Consider the following 23,791-nt stretch of genomic DNA (forward strand, 5'->3'; position numbering starts at 1 on the left):
GTGGCTCACGCCTGTAATCCCAGCACTTTCGGAGGCTGAGGTGGGTGGATCACCTGAGGTTGGGAGTTCGAGACCAGCCTGACCAACATGGAGAAACCCTGTCTCTACTAAAAATACAAAACTAGCCGAGCGTGGTGGTGCATGCCTGTAATCCCAGCTACTCAGGAGGCTGAGGCAGGAGAATCGCTTGAACTTGGGAGGTAGAGCTTGCGGTGAGCCAAGACCGTACCACTGCACTCCAGCCTGGGCAACAAGAGCAAAACTCCATTTAAAAAAAAAAAAGTAGAGAAAAAAGGCCTCAAAGGAGCAACTATGAGAGTGATAGCCAATTAGTCTTCAACCATAATATAAATATAGAGACAGTGGTAATTATTTCAATATGCTAGGAAAAAACCCTCAGTCTAGATTTATACCCAACAAACATAGGTTCTTTGTCCTTGCCAAGAACAAAGATGAAATAAATACATATTCAGACAAGGAAAGCTGAGTAAGTTTGCCAGCAGACCTCCAATAAAGGAATTCTAAGTTCAGAGAGAAGGAAATTATTTTCAAACGGAAGGTCTGAGAAGCTAGAAGGAATGAAGAACAAAAAGTGTTAAATATGTATGTACATGTTAATCTGATAATGTCTTTTGGGATTAATAGAGATGGAACAAAAATAGAAGACAATAATAGCATATAAATTATGAAGTGAGGCCGGGTGTGGTGGTTTATGCCTGTAATCCCAGCACTTTGGGAGGCCGAGGCGGGCGGATCACTTGAGGTCAGGAGTGTGAGACCAGCCTGGCCAACCTGATGAAACCCTGTCTCTACTAAAAATACAAAAAAATTAGCCTGGTGTGGTGGCATACACCTGTAATCTCAGCTACTTGGGAGGCTGAGGCAGGAAAATCACTTGAACCTGGGAGGCAGAGGTTGCAGTGAGCGGAGATCACATCACTGCACTCCAGCCTGGGTGACAGAGTGAGACTCCATCTCAAAGTAAAATAAAAATAAATGATAAGTGACATTCTAAGTTTTTATGTATTTGGGGGGATAATAATATATGTTAACTTTGGGCTTTAATAGGTATTTAAAATTTTCAAGGAACCAAAAGACAAGAAAGATTATAATTTCCAGACTAGTACAAGAAAAAGTACAGAATGAGAAAAAAATTCCAAAAGAAGGCAAGAAAGGAAAAGAAAAAAAGACAAGATATAATAAATAAAAAGCACAAAGAATAGCTGAAAATAAATCCAAACATTACTAGTTGCAATAACTATAAGGTACTAAATATTCTAATTAAAAGACAAAGAGTAGCTTGGCGCAGTGGCTCACGCCTACAATCCCAACATTTTGGGAAGCCAAGGCAGGTGGATCACTTGAGCCCAGGAGTTTGAGACCACCCTGGGCAACATAAGGAGACCCTGTCTCTACAAAAAGTACAAAAATTAGCTGGTTGTGGTGACGTGTCCCTTTGTCCCAGCTACTCAGGTGGCTGAGGCAGGAGGACCACTTGAGCTCGGAAGGTGGAGGCTGCAGTGAACCAGGATTGTGCCACTGCACTCCAGCCTGGGCAACAGAGACCCTGTCTTGCAAAAAATAAAATAAAATTAAAAAATAAATAAAAGAACAGTACCTCTTAAAATCTTACTCTTAATGGCATTCGTAGACTACATTCAGGCCTGCTATTCAGCTGATACTGGTTCAGCTATACTAGTTGTTAAAATATTGATATGTCCATAGTGGTTGAACAGTTACTGTCCCAAGCCTGTTAAGTGTCATCTTAATGCTTCATCGCCTTCCTTGGGACTTCCTATAGTAACCAATTATATAGCAACTAAAGAGTTAAGAACTAGGACAGCAAGAGACTGTCAGCAAACATCTCACTGGAGAACTACAGGGCAGCAGCCATTCTAATTACTCCTCACCCGTGCCTGGCAACCTCCAACACACAAAAAAATCCATAGGCCCAGTGACCATCTGGCTTCCCTAAGAGTAGGGCTGCCTACCTTTCTCATATCACTCTCACATGGCCCCTTTGGGAACTACAGCCCCGGGAGATCCAGAAAGAAGAGCAGTCAAATGAGAGTAATAGTACTGTACTACCGCAGTTGCCATCAAAATATATTAATTCTCTTGGCACAGTATACATTCCCATGGCAGGATAGAATCTACAGCAGATGATCGAGGCCTGTGGGGATGGTTTATGGATGAATAACTTCTGGGATGCACATCCTTAGTTTTATCATTCTTGTTTAATTTCCCCATTATTTAGATAGGATAAGTGTGCCAACACCCAATGAATACCTGCCTACAGTAGGCATTAATGACACTCATGTTATAAATGAAAATGACTACCAAAATACATCTTTTTCTGTCTACCAGACACATTTAGTTGGGGGAATTAAGAAGCAGAAAGTTTATTAAATGAAGGTTCTGTACCTTGGTGTATGCTGTTAACTGCTGTGTTACGTTACCTCTCACCTGGACTGAGGGATTAGGTTTAATATAATTAAGTATATCAATAAATTATTTTTGTGACTTAGTTATTAATATATTTAAACAAATATTGACTATATGAAACTAACAGCAAGCATTTGAAGGGCTAAAAACATTTTAAAATATACTTACTGTTACTTCAGCAAAAGCCAAAAAGAGGATTCAGCTCCCATGAACAATTCTGTTGATGTTAAGAGTGATTTCTTTTTTTTAGGCCAGGTATGGCAGCTCATGCCTATAATCCTAGCACTTTGGGAGGCTGAAGGTGGAGGATTGCTTGAGCTCGAGTTCAAGACCAGCTGGGGCAACATAGGGAGACCTTGTCTCTACAAAAAATTTTAAAAAGTGTGATTTTTTTTAACGTATCATGACTACAAGTTATTTAATGACTATAAATTTAATGTGGACATTCTTAGAAGGGCTTTATCTAGTTTCCTATGTCAATTCATGGTTCAGACAAGGGCATCTGTGTCAAATAAAAGATTATGGCTACAATTTCCAAAAATTAATAAATGATTGAAAATTACTAGAATGATTTAATGAACAATTTGAGCTACAATGGTTATCACCTGGTGAGCATTTTTATAATCTATATAGGTTAATTTATTTAGAAAATGTTTTTAAATTTTATTTATGTTAATTTATATTACCACTGAATTTTCTTTTCTTTTCTTTTTTTTTTTTTTTTTTTTTGAGACAGAGTTTCACTCTTGTTGTCCAGGCTGGACTGCAATGGCGCGATCTTGCCTGAATGCAACCTCCAGCTCCCAGGTTCAAGCAATTCTCCTGCCTCAGCCTCCCAAGTAGCCGGGATTACAGGCATGCACCACCACGCTCGGCTAATTTTGTATTTTTAGTAGAGATGAGGTTTCACCATGTTAGTCAGGCTGGTCTTGAACTCCTGACCTCAGGTGATCCACCCACCTCAGCCTCCCAAAGAGCTGGGATTATAAGTGTGAACCACTGTGCCTGGCCTGAATTTTTAACCTCTTTGAATATCACACTTAACTGTATGTAACAGCCGCTTCATCCTTATATTTTTCAAACACACAAGGAACAGTTATAAAATTTTCACATATGAGACCACAAGTTTCAAAAGATTGGTATCATACCGAATACAGTTTCTCACCACAATGTGATCACTAGAAGTAAATAAAAAGATAACTAGCTGGCATGGTGGTTCATACCTGTGATCCCAACACTTTGGGAGGCTGAGGCAGGTGGATCACTTGAGCCTGGGAGTTCCAGACCATCCTTACAAAAAATACAAAAATTAGCCAGTTGTGGGGCTCATGCCTATAGTCCTAGCTACTCAGGAGGCTGAGGTGGGAGGATCACTTGAACCCCGGAAGCAGAGGTTGCAGTGAGCCAAAATCGCGCCACTGCACTCCAGCCTGGGCGACAGCCTGGGCGACAGAATGAGACCCTGTCTCAAGAAAAATATATATATTATATTATGTAAAAGTATATTATATATAATATAAAATATATATTTATATAATATATAAATATATAAAACATATATTTATATAATATATTATATAAATATATAATATATGTAATATATAAAATATATAATACATAATATATAATATAAAATATATTTATATAATATAATATAAAAATATAATATATTTATATAATATAATATAAAAATATATAATATAAAATATAAATATATTATATAATATAAAATATAAATATATATTTATATATTTATATTTATATATAAAATTTATATATAAAAATATATAAAAATACATACATAAAATATATATTTATATAATATATATTATATATTTTATATTTTTGGAAGTCAAGAGACAAGTATAATTAAAAAGATAACCAGAGACCTGGCACAGTGGGTCACACTTGTAATCCCAGCACTTTGGAAAACTGAGGTGGGAGGATCTGGCAGGAGTTCAAGACCAGCCTGGGCAAGGAAGAAAGACTGTCTACAAAAATTTAAAAATTAGCCTGGTGTGGTGGCATGTGCCTGTGGTCCTAGCTACCCAGGAAGGTGAGGCAGGAGGACTGCTTGAGCTTCAGAGTTTGAGGTTGCCACTGCATTCTAGCCTGGGTGACAGAATGAGACTCTGTCTCAAAGAAAAAAAAAAAAAAAGATAACTAGAAAAGTCTCATTCATTTTCAAAAAGAATTGATAAATTCATGGGTCAAAGGGGAAATTATAATGGAAATTAGAAATGTTCAGAACTAAATGATAATGAAATCATATGTCTCAAAACTTGTGGGATACAAGTAAAGCTGTACTTAGTAGGAAAATTATAGTCTTTAATAAACTGATAAGGAAAATTAATGAGCTAAGTATTCATCTCATGAAAGAGAATAGCAAAGTTATCTGCAAATAATAGGAAAATCAATCTAAAGAGAGCAGAAGGAAATATAGTAAAAAAAAAAAAAAGGTAGAAATTAGTGAAATTTTAAAAACCATCAGAAATACTGAATAGGGACAAAGTTTTGTCTTTGAAAACACTTATAAAAATGAAAAACATCCATGGTACTAAGAAAATGCACAGATAATATTCAGAATAAAAAGAGGGACATAGGTCGGCACAGTGGCTCACACCTGTAATCCTAGCACTTTGGGAGGCCGAGGCGGGTGGATCACCTGAGGTCAGGAGTTCGAGACCAGCCTGGCTAACAGGCGAAGCCCTGACTCTACTCAAAATAAAAAAATTAGCCAGGCATGGTGGTGGGCGCCTATAATCCCGGCTACTCCGGAGGCTGAGGCAGGAGAATCGCTTGAACCCGAGGGGCGGAGGTTGCAGTGAGCCAAGACTGTGCCACTTCACTCCAGCCTGGGCAAAAGAGCGAAACTCTGTCTCAAATTAAAAAAATAAAAGGGTTAGGGGGAGCGGGGCGGCCGTGCGCGGTGGCTCACGCCTGTAATCCCAGCATTTTGGGAGGCCAAGGCGGCTGGATCACCTGAGGTCAGGAGTTTGAGACCAGCCTGGCTAACATGGTGAAACCCCATCTCTACTAAAAATACAAAAAAGTAGCTGGGCATGGTGGCAAACGCCTGTAATCCCAGCCACTCAGGAGGCTGAGACAGGAGAATCACTTGAACCTGGGAGGCGGAGGTTGCAGTGAGCTGAGATTGCGCCACTGCACTCCAGCCTGGGCAACGAGAGCGAAACTCCATCTTAAAAAAAAAAAAAAGTTGGGGGGACAATTTTATATGCAAGAGGTAGATTGTTTGGACCAAACTTCCAACTGAGAATAATCAGAAAAGCTAGAGAAAATATTAAATATTTAATGTAAGATATAGAAAGCTTATGTGTGAGGGGATTAGAGCATTATCAGGGAAATGAAGAAATTGCAGGGTCAAGTTCTAAAAAATAGGAAAGCCAGTGATGTGAGCCCAGCATTTGAGCTCGCTTCTCTGAGAGACATCTGTCAATCTCAAAAGCAGCAGCAGCAATGAGGCTGAATGGTATTTCTTTCTTTCTTTCTTTCTTTTTTTTTTTGAGACAGAGTTTCATTCACTGTTGTTGCCCAGGCTGGAGCGCAATGGCGCAATCTTGGCTCATTGCAACCTCTGCCTCCCGGGTTCAAGCGATTCTCCTGCCTCAGTCTCTGGATTAGCTAGGATTATAGGCGCCTGCCACCACGCCCGGCTAATTTTTGTATTTTTAGTAGAAACGGGCTTTCTCCATGTTGGTCAGGCTGGTCTCGACCTCCTGACCTCAGGTGATCTGTCTGCCTCGGCCTCCCAAAGTGCTGGGATTACAGGCTTGAGCCACTGCGCCTGGCCTCTGAATGGTATTTCTAATGGACTCATGGGTGGGATAGATGAGATTACAAGAATTGCAATTTAGGATCCGCAATTTAGGTTTGGGATTGAAACTCCCCTCCCCTCACCCAGTATACCCTAGGACTAAAGGTGAATCCAGAATCGACAGTACTCATGGGGACTAAAGGCCAGCTTCAAATAATCTCATTCCCTACGTAGATTAAGAAGACCTCAGATTGCCGGCACCTCTACTCTAGCTTACTTGCCATAATTAAAGATGAATCTTCTATGGAAGAAGAAAATATGCAGCTGAGTGCCGTGGCTTACACCTTTAATCCAAGTTCTTTGGGAGGCTGAGGAGGGAAGATTAATTGAGGCCAGGAGTTGGAGACCAGTCTGAGCAACATAGTGAGAGATCCCATATCTGCAAAAAATCTAAAAATTAGCTGGGCAAGGTGGTGTGCGCCTGCCATACTAGCTACTCTGGAGGCTGAGGTGGGAGGATTGTTTAAGCCCAGGCGTTTGAGGTTACAGTGAGCTATAATCACATCACTACACTTCAGCCTGGGTGACCAAGCAAGACCCTGTCTCTAAAGAAATTTTTTTAAAAATATAATATATCATCCAGTGCTTTAAATTATCCCTATAATTTTTGTATACAGTGACGAGCACTAGTACAAAGAGATTCGTTGTCTGAAAAACCAAGAAAATCAGCAAACAATAGAAATAGACCCACAGGAGATCTGACATTAAAACTATTTAATATGTTCAAGGAATTATAAGATGGAGAAATTTAGCAGAGAACTAGAAGCTAAAAAAAGAAAACCCTAGAACTAAAAAGTACAGTAACTGATAAAAACTCACTGGATGATTTAACAGCAAACTGGACACAGCTGAAGGATTTGTGAGCTTGAGAATAGATGAGAAAAAAATATACAGAATAAAGTTCAGATTTACCAAAATGGGACATAGAGATTAAGATATGTCATAAGATACAGGGAAAAGATCTTATAAATATAAATGGAGTTTCAGAAAGATATTAAAGAGAATGAAGATAAATCAATATTTGAACAGATAATGGATGACAATTTTAAAAATTAACAAAAGACATTGTAGATTCAAGAAAGGCTATACATCTCAAGCAAGAGAAAGACAAAAAAAGCAGGCCAGGCATGGTGGCGCACCCCTGTAATCCCAGCACTTATGGAGGCTGAGGTAGTTGGATCTCTTGAGCTCAGGAGTTTGAGACCAGCCCGGCCAACATGGCAAAACCCTGACTCTACAAAAAAATTAGCCGGGTGTGGTGGCATGCGCCTGTGGTCCCAGCTACTCAGGAGGCTGAAGAAGGAGGATCACTTGAATCTGGGAGGTCAAGGCTGCAGTGAGCTGAGATTGCGCCACTGCATTCCAGCGCCACCACACTCCAAACCTTCTGAAACAAAACTGCTTCAAAAACAAAAAAAAAACCTTCCAACTGCTTTAAAAACAAAAACAAAAATCCCTACCAACTTCTTCAAAAACAAACAACAAAAAAAAGAAGAAAAAAAGACAGAAATATAAAGCCACACTTAGCTACAAGAGTAAAGCTGCTAAAACTAAAATAAAACATACATGCACAAAGACAAAGAAAATCTTAAAAGCAGCTAGAGGAAAGAGATAGATTACTTTCAAAGGAGGCTCAAAAAGAGAGCTAAGTTCACTGCAGAAACAATGGAAGTCAAGAGACAAAGATATTTCCAGACAAATATTGAGAGAATTTGCCACTATCAGATCTACACAGAAACAGGTAACAAAATTATTCTTTAGGAGGAAGGAAAAAGGTGGAAGATCAGAGGTACAGGAAAGAATGAAAAGAACAAAAATAAATATGCGTGTAAATCAAAATGAATGTGAACTTTTTTTTCATTTTTTTAGACAGAGTCTCTCTCTGTCATCCAAGCTGGAGTGCAGTGGCATGAACACTGCTCACTGCAGCCTTGACTTCCTGGGCTCAAGTAATCCTCTTGCCTCTGCCTTTTGTGTAGCTGGGACCACAGGCACACGCCAGCATGGCTGGCTAATTTTTTTATTTTTTGTAGAGACAAGGGTCTCAGTTTGTTGTCCAGGCTGGGAATGGTATAAAACATGAAAAATTTTAGTAGAGCATTAAATTTATATATAATTATATCTAAAAAATTAAATATTAGGATGGGATAAAGGAAGTTGAAGTGAGCTAAGGTTCTTGCATCATCCAGGAAGTAATAATTACGTACTTCACTTTAAAAAGTTGATGCATGATGTTAGCTCTTTAGGTATTCGCTAAAAGAAGAGTAAAAATATATTTAACATACTAAATAGCATATGGGGAGATATCAATAGCAAATGTATATATATTCTTAGAGATGGGATCTTGCACTGTTGCCCAGGCTGGAGTTCATTGGTGCTGTCACAGCTCACGGCAACCTCCAACTCCTGGGCTCAAGCAATCCTCCCGCCTGTCTCCTGGGCAGCTAGGACTGCAGCCATAAGCCACTATGCCTGGCCATTTTATTTTTTTATAGAGATAGGGTCTCCACATGTTGTCCAGGCTGATCTCCAACTCCTGGCCACAAGCTATCCTCCTGCCTTGGACTCCTAAAACACTAGGATTACAGGCATGGGCCAATGTGCCTGGCCAAAAAAATGTTTAAAGCAACTGAAAAGGGACATAGAACAGACAGGACAAATGGAAAGTAAATTCTCTGGTGACAGATTTCAACTCAAAGATTGCTAGTAGTTACATTAAATGTAATTTGACTGAGACAATGATTGTCAGATCAGATTTTTAAAAACTGCTTACAGAAGACATACCTGAAATGTAAGGATACACAAAGTTTTAAAGTAAAAGGATGTCAAGGCATACCACTGCTAGCATTAGCTAAATGAAAGTTGGTGTGTTATGTTAATATCAGACAACACAAAAAACAAATTCATACAATTTCCAAGCATTGAGATTAAGCAGTTTGTTTTTCAATGAAAGTTCAGGAAATAAATAACTAGAAAATCTCTTTATTTTTGGAAATGCTCTTTTAAATAACTTGTGAGTCAAAGAAGAAATCACAGTATAAATTATAAAATATTTGAAACTGAATGATGAAAACACTATCAAAATTTGTGCAATTGCAGCTGAAGCCATGTATAGAGGAAAATCTTAGATCCTTAAATGCAGATATTAGAAAAGAAGAAAGGCTGAATTGTCAATAAGCTAAGTAAGCATCCATCTCAAGAACTTTGAAACAGAACAACAAATTATACCCAAAGAAGGTAAAAAGAAGGAATAGAGATCAGAGTGCAATTGAACCACTTTGAAACTATTTGTCACTATATATATATATATATATATATATATATATATATATATATATATATTTGTTGTTGTTGTTGTTGTTGTTGTTGTTGAGATGGAGTCTCATTCTGTCACCCAGGCTGGAGTGCAATGGCACGATCTCAGGTTACTGCAACCTCTGCCTCCCGGGTTCAAGCGATTCTCCTGCCTCAGCCTCCCAAGTAGCTGGAATTACAGGCATGTGCCACCACGCCGGCTTTTTTTTTTTTTTTTTTTTTGTATTTTTAGTAGAGATGGGTTTCACCATGTTGGCCAGCCTGGTCTCAAACTCCTGACCTTGTGATCCGCCCGCCTCGGCCTCCTAAAGTGCTGGGGTTACAGGCGTGAGCCACCACGCCTGGCCTTCAATTTTTTTTTTAAGAGGCAGGGTCTTGCTGTGTTGCCAGGCTGATCTCAAATTCCTGGGCTCAAGTGATCCTCCTGCCTCAGCCACCCAAAGTGCTGGAATTATAGGTGAGAGCCACTGTGTCTGGCCTTTAAAGTTTAAAAATAGAAACAGAGGATATTGTGAACAACTTCATGCCAATAAAATTCTAAAGTTCAATGAAATAGGCTAATTCCTAGAAAAGTAGAAATTACCAAAACTGACATTAGTAAAAGATTAGAAAGTAGTATCATAACCAATAATACTGCATCAGTAGTTAGGTCTAGATGGTTTTATAGACTAGCACTACCAAATTTACAAGAAATAAATAATCCCAATTTATATAAACTATTCCAGTGTATAAAATAACAAGAGCCAGTCTTAATTCATTCCATGATGTTAGCATACACTTTATACCAAAATCTGACATGAATAGCACAAGAAAGCAAAATTACCATGCAATTTCGCTGAAGAATAAAGATAGAAAAATCATAAACAAAATATTAGCCAACTGAATCTAGCAATGAGGTAAAAATAAAAGACTGATTTGAAATTAGAAAGTAAATTAATGTAAATAACTACATTAATATATTAAAGGAAAAATATAGGAATATCTCAATAAATGCTGAAAAATCTCTTACACAGTTTGACATATATTCATGAAAAGAAAGCTTAGCAAAATTGAAACAGAACTTTCCTTAATCTAATAGTAGGAATCTGCCCAAAAAACCTACACCAAACATTGTACTTAATGATGAAATGTTGAATATATTCTTGAAGATCAGGAACAAGATGAGTGCCTGCTATTAACACTTCTATTCAACATTGTTCTGAAAGTCCTAGTCAGTATAACAACCAAAAAGAGAAGGAAACAGGTTTTTAAAAAGAAGAACAGTCTGGGCATGGTGGCTCACGCCTGTAATCCCAGCACTTTGGGAGGCCGAGGCAGGTGGATCACCTGAGGTCAGCAGTTCGAGACTAGCCTGGCCAACATGGTGAAACCCTGTCTCTACTAATAATACAAAAATTAGCTGGGCATCATGGCACACGCCTGCAGTCCCAGCTACCCAGGAGGCTGCGGCAGGAGAATCACTTGAACCCGGGAGGCGGAGGTTGCAGTGAGCTGAGATCACGCCATTGCACCCCAGCCTGGGCAACAAGCGCAAAACTCTGTCTCCAATAAAAAAAAAAAATAGGAAGAACAAAGCAATTATTTTTAGATGGTATTATTATCAACCAAAAACCCCAAATAATAGAATAGTAAGATCGATTGATAAATAATCAATATTTAAAAATCAGTTACATTTCTGTATACCAGCAATAAGCAAAGCCAAAAAAATTTTTTTTGAGACAGGGTCTTGGTCAGCTAGGCTGGAGTGCAGTGGCATGATTATAGCTCACTACAGCCTCAACCTCCCTGACTCAGCTGATCCTCCCACCTCAGCCACCCAAATAGCTGGGACTACAGGTGTGCACCATCATACCTGGCTAATTTTTAAATTTTTTGTAGAGACAAGGTCTCACTGTGTTGCACAGGCTGGTCTCAAACTCCTGAGCTCAAGTAATCTTTCCTCCTTGGTCTCCCAAAATTCTGGAATAACAAGAATAAGCCACTGTGTCCAGCATAAGCAAAAATTTTAAAAGAACATTTATTCAAATATAAAAAAAAATCAAGTGCCCAGGAATAAGTTCAACAGAAGGTAGGCATGGGCCATATGGAGGAAACTATACAATTTTGTTGAGAGAATTACAGAAGATTTAAATAAATGGAGATAGATTATGTTAATGGATTGGAAGATTCCATATTGTAAAGACAGCAGTTCCATTACAACTTTTTGGGCCACGCGCGATGGCTCACGCCTGTAATCCCAGCACTTTGGGAGGCTGAGGTGGGTGGATCACCTGAGGTAAGGAGTTAGAGACCAGCCTGGCTAACATGGTGAAACCCCGTTTCTACTAAAAATACAAAAAGTTAGCTGGGCATGGTGGCACATGCCTGTAATCCCAGCTACTTGGGAGGCTGAGGCAGGAAAATCTTTTGAACCCAGGAGGCAGAGGTTGCAGTGAGCTGAGATTGTGCCATTGCACTCCAGCTTGGGCAACAAGAGCAAAACTCTGTCTCAAAAAAAAACAACACAACCTTTTGGTATTAATAGATTTAATATAATCTCAATTAACATCTGCACCTGGGGTGTGTGTGTGTGTGTGTGTGTGTGTGTGTGTATACATAAATTGATATGTTGATTCTAATTGTATAAGGATGGTCAAAGATCCAAGATTTACTCAGATACTCTAAGAAAATCTTTAATGTGTGGGAAAATGTGCATATTACTGTATGAGGTAAATCAATATTGTATCATATAAATTCTACCTAAGTAATCTGTAAAGTCAGTGCATTTCAATAAAATTTCAACAAAATTTTTTAACAGAACCTGACATGGTATATATAAAATTTACTTGAAGAGAAAGCATAGTATTAGCCAAGAAAAAGTGTCAGTAAAGCAAATGAGGGAGTCTTGCTTTGCCACATAGCAAATATATCATAAGCCTTCTAGAAATTAAGATAGTGTGATGTTGCATAGAATACCAATATACAGTCGAAGAACAAAACTTGTATGTAGTGAAGATGGCATTATAAACCAATGTAAATAAGATCAGCCTTGATATTGGGACAAATTGTGTACCAGCAATAAACAAAGCAATATGTATCTTTTAAAAAAATATGTATATTTTAAAAGATACATATCATACCATGTACAAAAATATACTATAATTTGATTCAAACAAAGCAATAACTAACAGTTTTATAGATCCCTTTTATACAATGTTCAAGATTAAGAATCTCCCAGAGGTTGGCTTTGTGTGGTGGCTCACACCTATAATCCCAGCAATTTGGGAGGCTGAGGCAGGAGGATCACTTGAGGTTTGAGACCAGCCAGGGCAACACGGTGAAACCCTGTCTCCATTAAAAATACAAAAATTAGTGGGGTGTGGTGGCGGGTGCCTGTAATCCCAGTTACTCTGGAGGCTGAGGCAGGAGAATCACTTGAACCAGGGAGGTGGAGGTTGCAGTGAACTGAGGTCGCGCCACCACACTTCAGCCTGGGTGATAGAGCGAGACTTCGTCTCAGAAAAAAAGAATCTCCCAGAGTCTGGGACTGGTGGTTCATGCCTGTAATCCCAGAGTTTTGGGAGGCTGATGTGGGAGGATCACTTGAGGCCAGGAATTTGAGACCAGCTTGAGCAACATAGTGTGATCCCATCTCCACCAAAAAAAAAAGTCTCCCAGAATCATTGATTCACTACTTATGCACAAAAGGGAAAAAAGTTCATTTCAGGGTTCTTCTGACTTACAAAAAGAAATAGCTATTTATATGTCTTCAAAAATTACAAATATTAATTTGAATATTTTTACTCCCAATGACTAGCATAAAAAATTTCAGATATTATTAAACTTTGAAGTCCAGATGTCTTAAAAAAGGGTTTATGCAGACAAGTCCATGATTAGTAAATAAAGAAAAGATTTCAACTTTTTTTTTTTTGAGACAGAGTCTTACTCTGTCACTCATGCTGGAGTGCAGTAGCGTGATCTTGGCTCACTGCAACCTCCGCCTCCTGGGTTCAAGCGATTCTCCTGCCTCAGCCTCCCAAGTAGCTGGGACTACAGGCCCCCACCACCACACCTGGCTAACATTTTTTGAATTTTTAGTAGAGACAGGGTTTCATTATGTTGGCCAGTCTGGTCTCGAACTCCTGACCTTGTGATCCACCCACCTCGGTCTCCCAAAGTACTGGGATCACAGGCGTGGGCCACCGCACCCGGCCAAGATTTCAACTTAATGGTTGTTTTTTAATCTCCCACTTTACCTAAAAAGTTTGTTCTGAATAGAAAAGTTTTTGGCTATTTATTCTATCTTATGTACGTTCATCTTAGTTGTATAAAATACACAGGATTTCATTTGCTAGAAATGAAATGAATCTGAAAGAGCAGGGCCCACAAAAAACTTATACTTAATCAAAATAAATAAAATAAAATACAATAGATTTTCACAAATCAAAACAAGGTTTGTAAAAGGTTTATAAAAATATAACTTTGCAGTGGGGAAGGCCTGAAACAAGAGACAAACCTAAAAAACCATGAAGGAAAAGACTGATAAGTTTGACTATGTTTAACTGCTCTGATAGGTTATATGCCAGATATTTTCCAGTACATTTTATTGACAGTGATGAAGAAATATATAATTTGGTTGTATATGAATTTCCCGTAAGTTGTCTCATCAATGTACATTTTTTTGGCAACCACCTTTTTTATTTAAAAATATGTTTTGGAGTTCTTTCATATTCATATAAAGCTACCCCTTTTTAACTTCTCTACAGTATTTCAAAGTATTGTGTACTATGGCTTGTATAATCAATCACTCCCTGTGTCATGTACATTTAAGATACTTTGAATTTCTCCTTTTTACAATGAAGCATATCTTTATATGTCTCTTTGTATTTGTAAGTAATTAGTTCTCTAGATTAAATTCCCAGAAAAAATTGCTGAGTCAAAACATATGCCCATTTTAAATTCTGATACTTTAGAGGTGCTGTGCAAACATAAGCTGTACCAGATTATACTCCACGATAATGTATGAGAGTACCATTTCCTACTACTCTTGCCAACCACAGATAGTATCAATCTTTTAAACATTTGCTACTAACATGGGCAAAAAAAAAAAGTTATTTACCTATAGCTTGTGTAATTATAAATAAGTGAACATCAATAACCAGCGAATGCTAGAAAACTAAACAAGATAAATGTGTCATTTGCTTTCAGGTCAGTGCTGACAGTTGCTTGTGAACAAACTGAAGTTCTGCTTTTTGACCCTATATCTTCAAAGCACATAAAAACACTTTCTGAAGCTCATGAAGACTGTGTAAATAATATCAGGTTAGTATTATAGTGAAAAAGTGAACTTTATCAGTGTGGCCCAAAATGTTCTGTTTTGGAAGTTAGTGAAAATGAAAATGTTTAATGCCTTATCCAGCACTGCTAGATGATCCACATTGTGAATTGTGAATCTAATCCCTTATAAAACTAATCCTTTAATTACAAAACTTACTCTTAGCTATGTTGGATTGGAATGTTTCTGAAATACATTTCTAACTTCTATATAATTTTACCTTTTCATATATTAGGGTCATCATTATGAACCTCAGCCATGTATTATGCTAGTCCTGTAATGCCTTTGTGCTAATGATTTGTGTAGAATGATGGCAGTCCCATTGCTTAGCACCTCTCACTTCCACCCTACCACTCTCTGCAGAAATACAGACTGTTAAGAGGAAAAAGTACATGCACAGACAATTTCTCTGTAGCATCATTGGAAGCTCCTTAATTTTCAATAATGTGGGAAGTGAATTATAATTGAGTAGTTTGGTGATTAATATTCAGTCATTAAAATGATGGTCATAGAGACTACATAGCAACATAGACAAATGCTTCGCATAATACAGGGTAAAATTGTGATAAGAATTATACAAATAGATGATACAGAAGAAAAAGATTAAAAGGAAATATTTTAAAATTCTAACAGTAGTTAAAATGGATGGATTATAAGTAATTTTCTATTTTTTCTATGTAATGAGATTATATTACTTTTATAATTATTACTTTTAATTTTCTAAAAAAAGAAATAGGTAAATTACTAGTCAACGTAACATACTGGGTGTTTTGATGTAACTCCTATGCTCAAAACACATAGAACAATAAATTAAATAGTACAAAAAGTATAGCCAGGTTCTGAAACAACATAAACATCTTTGTGGGCCAGAAATGAAACATGGACACAAAGTTTTAAACGGGGCTGAAACCACAGACCAGCTGGCTTTCAGTCTAGCACTGACAGCTAGTAGTTTTGCTCCTGTCAGGTAAAAGGATTAAGAAGTGCTTAAGTGTTTCATGCGAGGCAGGAACCAGAGCCAGAATCACTACATGAAGTCCGGGGTTTGGTTAAAATATCTGTCTTATTTATGAAAGGCTGAAAAGAGAAAAGAGCTATTCACTACCCGAGACTATAAGTTTTAGCTGATAAAAACACAGCCTCATCAATAGCTATTGAATGAAGCCACTTGCTGAGTCAGTAACTGAATGTCTATGTATGATATTTCCAGTATCATGATTAAAATGGAGCCCCGAAATGTCATTATAAGGCCTAGTTGTGGACTGGGGGCCCAGATGGCCAAGTGGGAGCAACTCTGAAACCATTAAATAGGAGGAGAGAGAGAAATTAAAAACCTTTTCTATTCAAAAGAAACCTATAACCCAAATTCTAAAATTTATAAAGACATATAATATTAATATAACAAAATCAGCCACCAAAACATTCATTTCTCTGGATGAAATTAATTTTATGGAGCAGTTCAACAAAGACTTTATTTTAAAAAATAAATTATGTATTTATTTTTGACTAGTAATAGATGCATGTAGTACAAAATTCAAAGGTACAAAAAGGGTAAACAGTGAAAAGTAAGTCTATCTCCACCTCTTTCACCTAGCCACCCAGTTTCCCTCCCCAAAGGCAACCACTGTTACCCATTTCTTGCTATCCTTTCTAAGATAATTGTTGCATATACAAACATATATATATATATACACACACACACACTCACACATATGTACATTTTTATATAAATGGTAGCATTTACACATATTATTATTTACCTTGCCTTTTTCACTTAATAACATGTTTAGAGATCATTTGATATTAATACCCATGGGATTACCTTATTCTTTTTAATAGCTGCATGGTATTCCAATGATTGGGAGAAACTTTTAAGCCTTTAACTTTTGCTTTTAACTTTAACTTTTAAGGATGCTCAGAGAAATAAATTAAGGGATACGTTCCAATTAAAGAGAGCTTAAAAACTGAAACAAAAGAGATTGAACAAGAAGAAGTCAATGTAGTAGAGAACTAGCTAGAACTCTTAGAAATTAAAAATGTCAAGCTGCCCAGAAATAAATCCAAATACTTACAGCCAACTGATCTTGGACAAAGCAAACAAAAACATAAAGTGGGGAAAGGACACCCTTTTCAACAAATGGTGCTAGGATAATTGGCTAGCCACATGTAGGAGAATGTAACTGGATTCTCATCTCTCACTTTATACAAAAATCAGCTCAAGATGGATTAAGGACTTAAACCTAAGACCTGAAACTATAATAAAAAAAACCCTTCTAGACATTGGCTTAGGCAAGGATTTCATGACCAAAACCCCAAAAGCAATTGCAATAAAGATAAAGATAAATAGCTGGGACCTAATTAAACTAAAGAGATTTGGCATGGCGAAAGGAACAGTTGGCAGAATAAACAGACAACCCACAGAGTGGGAGAAAATCTTCGCAATCTATACATCTGACAAAGGACTAATATCCAGAATCTACAACAAACTCAAATCAGTAAAAAAAAAACAACAATCAATCCCATTAAAAAATTGGGCTAAGGAAATGAATAGATAATTCTCAGAAGAATAATTCTTCATATGACCAACAAACATATGAAAAAATGCTGAACATCACTAATGATCAGGGAAATGCAAATCAAAACCATAATGCGATACCGCCTTACTCCTGTAAGAATGGCCATAATCAAAAAATCAAAAAACAGTAGATGCTGGTGTGGATGTGGTGATCAGGAACACTTCTACACTGCTGGTGGGAATGTAAACTAGTACAGCCGCTATGGAAAACAGTGTGGAGATTCCTTAAAGAACTAAAAGTAGAACTACCATTTGATCCAGCAATTCCACTACTGGGTATCTACCCAGAGGAAAAGAAGTCATTATTTGAAAAAGATACTTGCACACGCATGTTTATAGCAGCACAATTCACAATAGCCAAATCGTGGAACCAACCCAAATGCCCATTAATCAATGAATGGATAAAGAAACTGTGATATATATATATATATATATATATATATATATATATATGATGGAATATTACTCAGCCATAAAAAGGAATGAATTAACAGCATTTGCAATGACCTGGATGAGATTGGAGACTATTATTTTAAGTGAAGTAACTCAGGAATGGAAAACCAAACATCATAGGTTCCCACTGATATGTGGGACCTAAGCTATGAGGACATAAAGGCATAAGAATGATACAATAGACTTTGGGGACTTAAGGGGAAGAGTGGGAGGTTGGGCAAAGGACAAAAGACAACAAATATGGTGCAGTGTATACTGCTTGGGTGATGGGTGCACCAGGGTCTCACAAATTCCCACTAAAGAACTTACTCATGTAACCGAATACCACCTGTATTCCAATAACTTATGGAAAAATAAAATAAAACTAAAAAAAAGTCAAGCTGGGCTTGGTGTCTTGCACCTGTAATCCCAGCAACTTGAGAGGCTGAGGCAGGAGGATCACTTGAGCCCAGGAGTTCAAGGCAGCAGTGAGCTATGATTGCACCACTGCTCTCAGCCTAGGTGACAGAGCAAGACTCTATCCTTATAAAAAGAAAGAAAAAGAAATTATGTAGTTGGTATATAAAAAACTCAATAGATGGGATAAACTTTACCTTTTACACTATTGATAAATGAATTAATGAGTTAGAATATAGCACTTAAAATTCACACAGAACACATAAAAAAGGTTAAAATATGAAAAAGTAGTTGAAAGACAGGATTAATTGAGAGATTACAGTGTATAGTTATAGAAAAATATTGGTAGAAAACTAAATTTTTGAAGATAACAATGGCTGAGAATTTTTAGCGCTGAAGGGCCTGAGACATCAAATCAAAAGTGAACTTTATAGTGTTTGCAGTTTAAATAAAGATAAATCTGCATCTAGACAGGTTGTGGTGAAACTCTAGAATACCAAAAGTCAAGAGAAAATCTTAGAAGCCACCAAAGTTAGAAGCCAGATTACCTACAGAAGTACAATAATTACAGAAACAGGTTTCTCATTAGCAATAGTTGATATCAGGAGAAAATGGAGTAATATTAATATCTTCAATATGAAGGTAAAATAATGTTCAATACCATGTTATGTCCAGGGAAACTGTTAATCCAGACTAAAGAATTGTAATTAGGTAAAATGTTAACTGTTATTAAGAGAAAAGAATTTAGGAGTTTTTTTGGCGGGGGGTACATGTAAAACAAAATAAAAACTAAAACTCTAAATTAGCACTATCCAATAAAAATGTAATGCTAATCACATATGTAATTTTTAATTTTATAGTAGTCACACTAAAAAAGAAAAGAGGTAAAATTAATTTTTAATAATTTATTTAACCCAGTATGTCCAAAATATTATCATTTCAACATGTAATCAATATAAAAATTATTGAGATATTTTACTTTCATTTTTTTCATGCTTTCTTCAAAATCCAGTTTGTATTTTATACTTAGAGCACATCTTTTTTTTTTTTTTTTTTTTTTGAGACAGAGTCTCACTATGTTGCCCAGGCTGGAGTGCAGTGGCGTGATCTCAGCTCACTGCAACCTCTATCTCCTGGACTGAAGCAATTCTTGTGCCTCAGCCTCCCGAGTAGCTGGGATTACAGGCATGTGCCACCACACTCAGCTAATTTTTGTATTTTTAGTAGAGATGGGGTTTCACCACGTTGGCCAGGCTGGTCTCGAACTCCTGACCTCAAATGATCTACCTGCTTCAGCCTCCCAATGTGCTGGGATTACAGGCATCAGGCACCGTGCCCAGTCATTAGAGCACATCTTAATTCAGACTGCCTGCCTATCAATGACTCAAAAGCAGATGTAGGTAATGGCTACATTACCAAATTGGACAGTGTGGTTCTAGATAGTAACAACAAATAGATTGTATGCACGGGGGAGTTTTGTTAAGTGGGAAGGTATAATATGTTAAGGCCCTCTTCATGTTCAAGAGGAAGATAAAAATATTAAGTAATTCAGACTCTTCTAGCAAAATGTATAATTAAATATATGTAATGAAAAAAACTGAAAAGATTTAACTAAAATAATGGAAATACAAACCATTATAGCTCTCAAAGCAGCAGAAGGGCAAAAGAGAATATTGAAAACTTAATCAGTTCAGTAAAAGGATAGTTTAAAAAAGTAAAAAAAAAAAATTTAAATGAAGAAAAGGGATGATAAATAGAATATAGAAAATGAGAAGTAGAAAGAGTTCCAAATATATGAGTAGTTCAAAGTAAATATAGATTAATTTTCTTTGTTAAGAGTCAACAATTTGAATAAAAAGCCAAATTATTTATCTGTTGCTCTATTGATATATGTTTAGCAATGCCAAAAATAAAACCACTGAGAAATGGGAAAAGAAAACTGATAGAAATTATCAATATCAGACAGATGAAAGACCAAGGGCTTTAATAAAGATAAAATGAAACAGTACACATTAATAAAAGGAAAAGTCTACCAAGAAGATATAATAATTATGAACTTGAATGCACCTTAAATATAGCCTTAAAATACACAAAGCAAAAACAGAATTATAAAGAATTAGAAGTCTACAATTATAGTGAGATATTTTAATACAGGTGTGTCCAAAACTGATAAATCAAGCAGATAAAAATTAGGCAGTAGAAGATTTTAAAATATCCTGAACAAATGGCTGTTATTAAAAAGTCAAAAAAATACAGATGCTGGTGAGGTTACGGAGAAAAAGGAACACCTATACACTGTTGGTGAGAGTGTAAATTAGTTCAGCCATTGTGGAAAATAGTGTGTTGATTCCTCAAAGACCTAAAAACAACTACCATTCGACCCAGCAGTCCCATTACAGGGTATATACCCAAAGGAATAAAGACACATGCATGCATATGTTCATTGCAGCACTATTCACAATAGCAAAAACATGGAATCAACCTAAATGCCCATTAATGGCAGACTGGATAAGGAAAACATAGTACATATACACCATGGAATACTATGCAGCCATAAAAAAGAATGAGATCATGTCCTTTGCAGGAACATGGGTAAAACTGGAGGCCATTATCTTTAGCAAATTAATGCAGGAACAGAAAACCAAATACTGCATGTTCTCACTTAGAAGTGGGAGCTAGATGATGAGAACACATGGACACATAGAGGGGAGCAACAGACGCTGGGGCCTTCCAGAGAGTGGAGGGTGGGAGGTGGGAGAGGATCAGGTTAAATAACTAATGAGTACTAGGCTTAATACCTGAGTGACAAAATAATCTGTACGGCAAACCTCTATGACACAAGTTTAGCTATATAACAAACCTACACATGTACCCCTGAACTTAAAAATTTAAAAAAGTGGCTGGGCACAGTGGCTTATGCCTGTAATCCCAGCACTTTGGGAGGCGGAGGCAGGCGGATCACCTGAAGTCAGGAGTTTGAGACCAGCCTGGCCAACATAGTGAAACCCCATCTCTACTAAAAATACAAAAAAACAAAAAAACAAAAAATAGCCAGGCTTGGTGGCGCGTGCCTGTAATCCCAGCTACCCAGGAGGCTGAGGCAGGAGAATCGCTGGAACCCAGGAGGTGGCGGCTGTAGTGAGCCGAGATCGCGTCACTGCACACCAGCCTGAGCGACAGAGCGAGACTCCATCTTAAAAGAAAAAAAAAAAAGTTTAAAAAAGTGGTATATTTCTTTAAAAAAAAAAAAGGCAATATGAACAGAGTTAATGCATAGCTGAACAAATGAGAAAAGGTATTTCAATGTTAAAAGCTGACAAGGGATTAATGCCCAGAATATACAAGGGACTCCTGCAAATAAAAATCAGGAGGGCAACCCCAGTAGAAAAATGAGCAAAGGATATGGACAAACAATTGATAGAAAGGAAACCCCTACAGCTATTATGCATGTAAAGAGAAGCTTAAAGTTATTAGTAATCACACAAATGAGAATTAGAACAAAATGGCACTTTACATCTACTGGACTGCAAAAATTTAAAAGCTGGATAAGCCAAATGTTGGCATAGATGGGTTCTGTATCTTGATGGCTGATGGGGTGTGGATGCTATAGCCTTTCTGGAAGGATCTAGGGCTACTAATGCTATGACCCAGCAGTTATGCTGCTTAGTATATAGTCCAGAGACATTCTCATAGGATCCACAAGAGCCCACAGGTTTGAGGTTGTTTGGTGTGGTGTATGTACGTGGGAGAGCACTGGAGCCAACTGAGTGCCCACCATCAATGAGAGAATGCACAGGTGAAATGTGGCAGATGACACCAGGGTGATGTTCGGCAATGGGAACCCAGATTAGATAATGCCTGTGCCACATGTATGAGATTTCAGAACCTAGCAGTTTTTTAGAGAGAAAAAATAGTAAGAAGCAGAATATGTAATACACTATCATTTATGCAAATAAAACATACACCCAAATACCACAATACCTTTTTTTTTTTTTTTTTTTTTTGAGATGGAGTTGTGCTCTTGTTGCCCAGGCTGGAGAGCAATGGCGCGATCTCGGCTCACCACAACCTCTGCCTTCCAGGTTCAAGCGATTCTCCTGCCTCAGCCTCCCAAGTAGCTGGGATTACAGGCATGTGCCACCACGCCTGGCTAATTTTGTATTTTTTAGTAGAGACAGGGTTTCTCCATGTTAATCAGGGTAGTCTCGAACTCCCGACCTCAGGTGATCCACCTGCCTTGGTCTCCCAAAGTGCTGGGATTACAGAGGTGAGCCACTGCGCCCGGCCACCACAATACCTATTTTGTAAGAACACCAACATAAGAAGCAACTACATGCGATCAGAACAAAATCCTTGCGTAAATGGGTAGGGGAGGAAATGAAAGTTGGAGGTGGGGATAAATGGAAACAAATGCTTAGACAACAAAGTGACCTGGGAACCTTGCACAGATTGGTGATGAAAATATGCTACAATAGGATAAAAGTATGATTAACTCCACCTTCTGCATCTGGGGGTCTCAAAAACAAGCAAGCAAACAAGCAGGTAGAAAACAAAAACAAAAAGAAAAGGTGCAAAACAGAGTTATCAAAATGGTGGTAGAGTTAATGTATTTACATTAAACAAATATGTTTTTAAGAACAAAAAATATCCTGAACAATGTTTCTAATTAAAAACAAATGCTGGATAAAATGTAATATATATATATATTTCTAATATGTAGTTGAGCTGATAAGAAAGACAGGAATCCATGGGCCAAAAATGAAATGGAATCAGGAATGCAAAGAAGTAAACAGGTGTTCAGTTGGCTTTTACCCTGGAGGCTTCTGCCAAGTGCTGGTGACCTTGAGCTTCTGTTTTGACAAGTATGAGAAGTAAAGGGAACAAGAGAGATAATTCTAGAACCAGTTTAAGGTGAGGAATTTAGTAGAAAGTGACTCTGCATAAGGCTGGGACCCCAAAAGTGCTTACTTTCAGCAAAAAGGTGATCTAGAGATAAACCACCCTGTTCATCTAGGCTGTGGCATTGGGGACAGAAGTAGCTGAATATCTTATTTTATTTTATTTTAGAGAAAGTCTCCCTCTATTTTAGAGACAGAGTCCCACTCTGTTGCCCAGGCTGGAGTTCAGTGGCATGATCATAGCTCAAGGGATTTTCCCATTTCAGCCTCCCGAGTAGCTGGGACTATAGGTGTGTGGCACCACCCCTGGCTATTAAAAAAAATTTCTTTTTGTAGAGACAGGGTCTTGCTATGTTGCCCAGGCTGGTCTGACGCTGCTGACCTCAAGCGATCCTCCCACCTCGGCCTCCCTAAGTGCTGAAATTACAGGCATGAGCCACTGTGCCTGGCCCTCCTCTGTGAATATCTAACCACAATCCAGCACTCGTGCATGTGTGGGACCCAAATTCACACTACCATATAGTTCAAAATCTCCAGCCAACAATTTTCAATTGGATTCA

The 23,791-nt window shown here is 37.6% G+C and overlaps 1 protein-coding gene across 8 annotated transcripts in view; it reads left to right on the forward strand.

The window, feature by feature from the left end:
* Positions 1 to 23,791, forward strand: part of DCAF10 (DDB1 and CUL4 associated factor 10) — a 67,111-nt gene that overhangs the window by 3,952 nt on the left and 39,368 nt on the right. For all 8 annotated transcript variants that reach the window (NM_001286810.2, XM_047423865.1, XM_047423866.1 and 5 more), the window contains exon 2: positions 14,783 to 14,896. In NM_001286810.2, coding sequence (NP_001273739.1) covers positions 14,783 to 14,896 — 114 coding nt within the window. The remainder of the gene's footprint in view (positions 1 to 14,782; positions 14,897 to 23,791) is intronic.

The sequence above is a fragment of the Homo sapiens genome, chromosome 9 (assembly GCF_000001405.40).
Source record: "Homo sapiens chromosome 9, GRCh38.p14 Primary Assembly".
NCBI classification, from domain to species: Eukaryota; Metazoa; Chordata; class Mammalia; order Primates; family Hominidae; genus Homo; species Homo sapiens.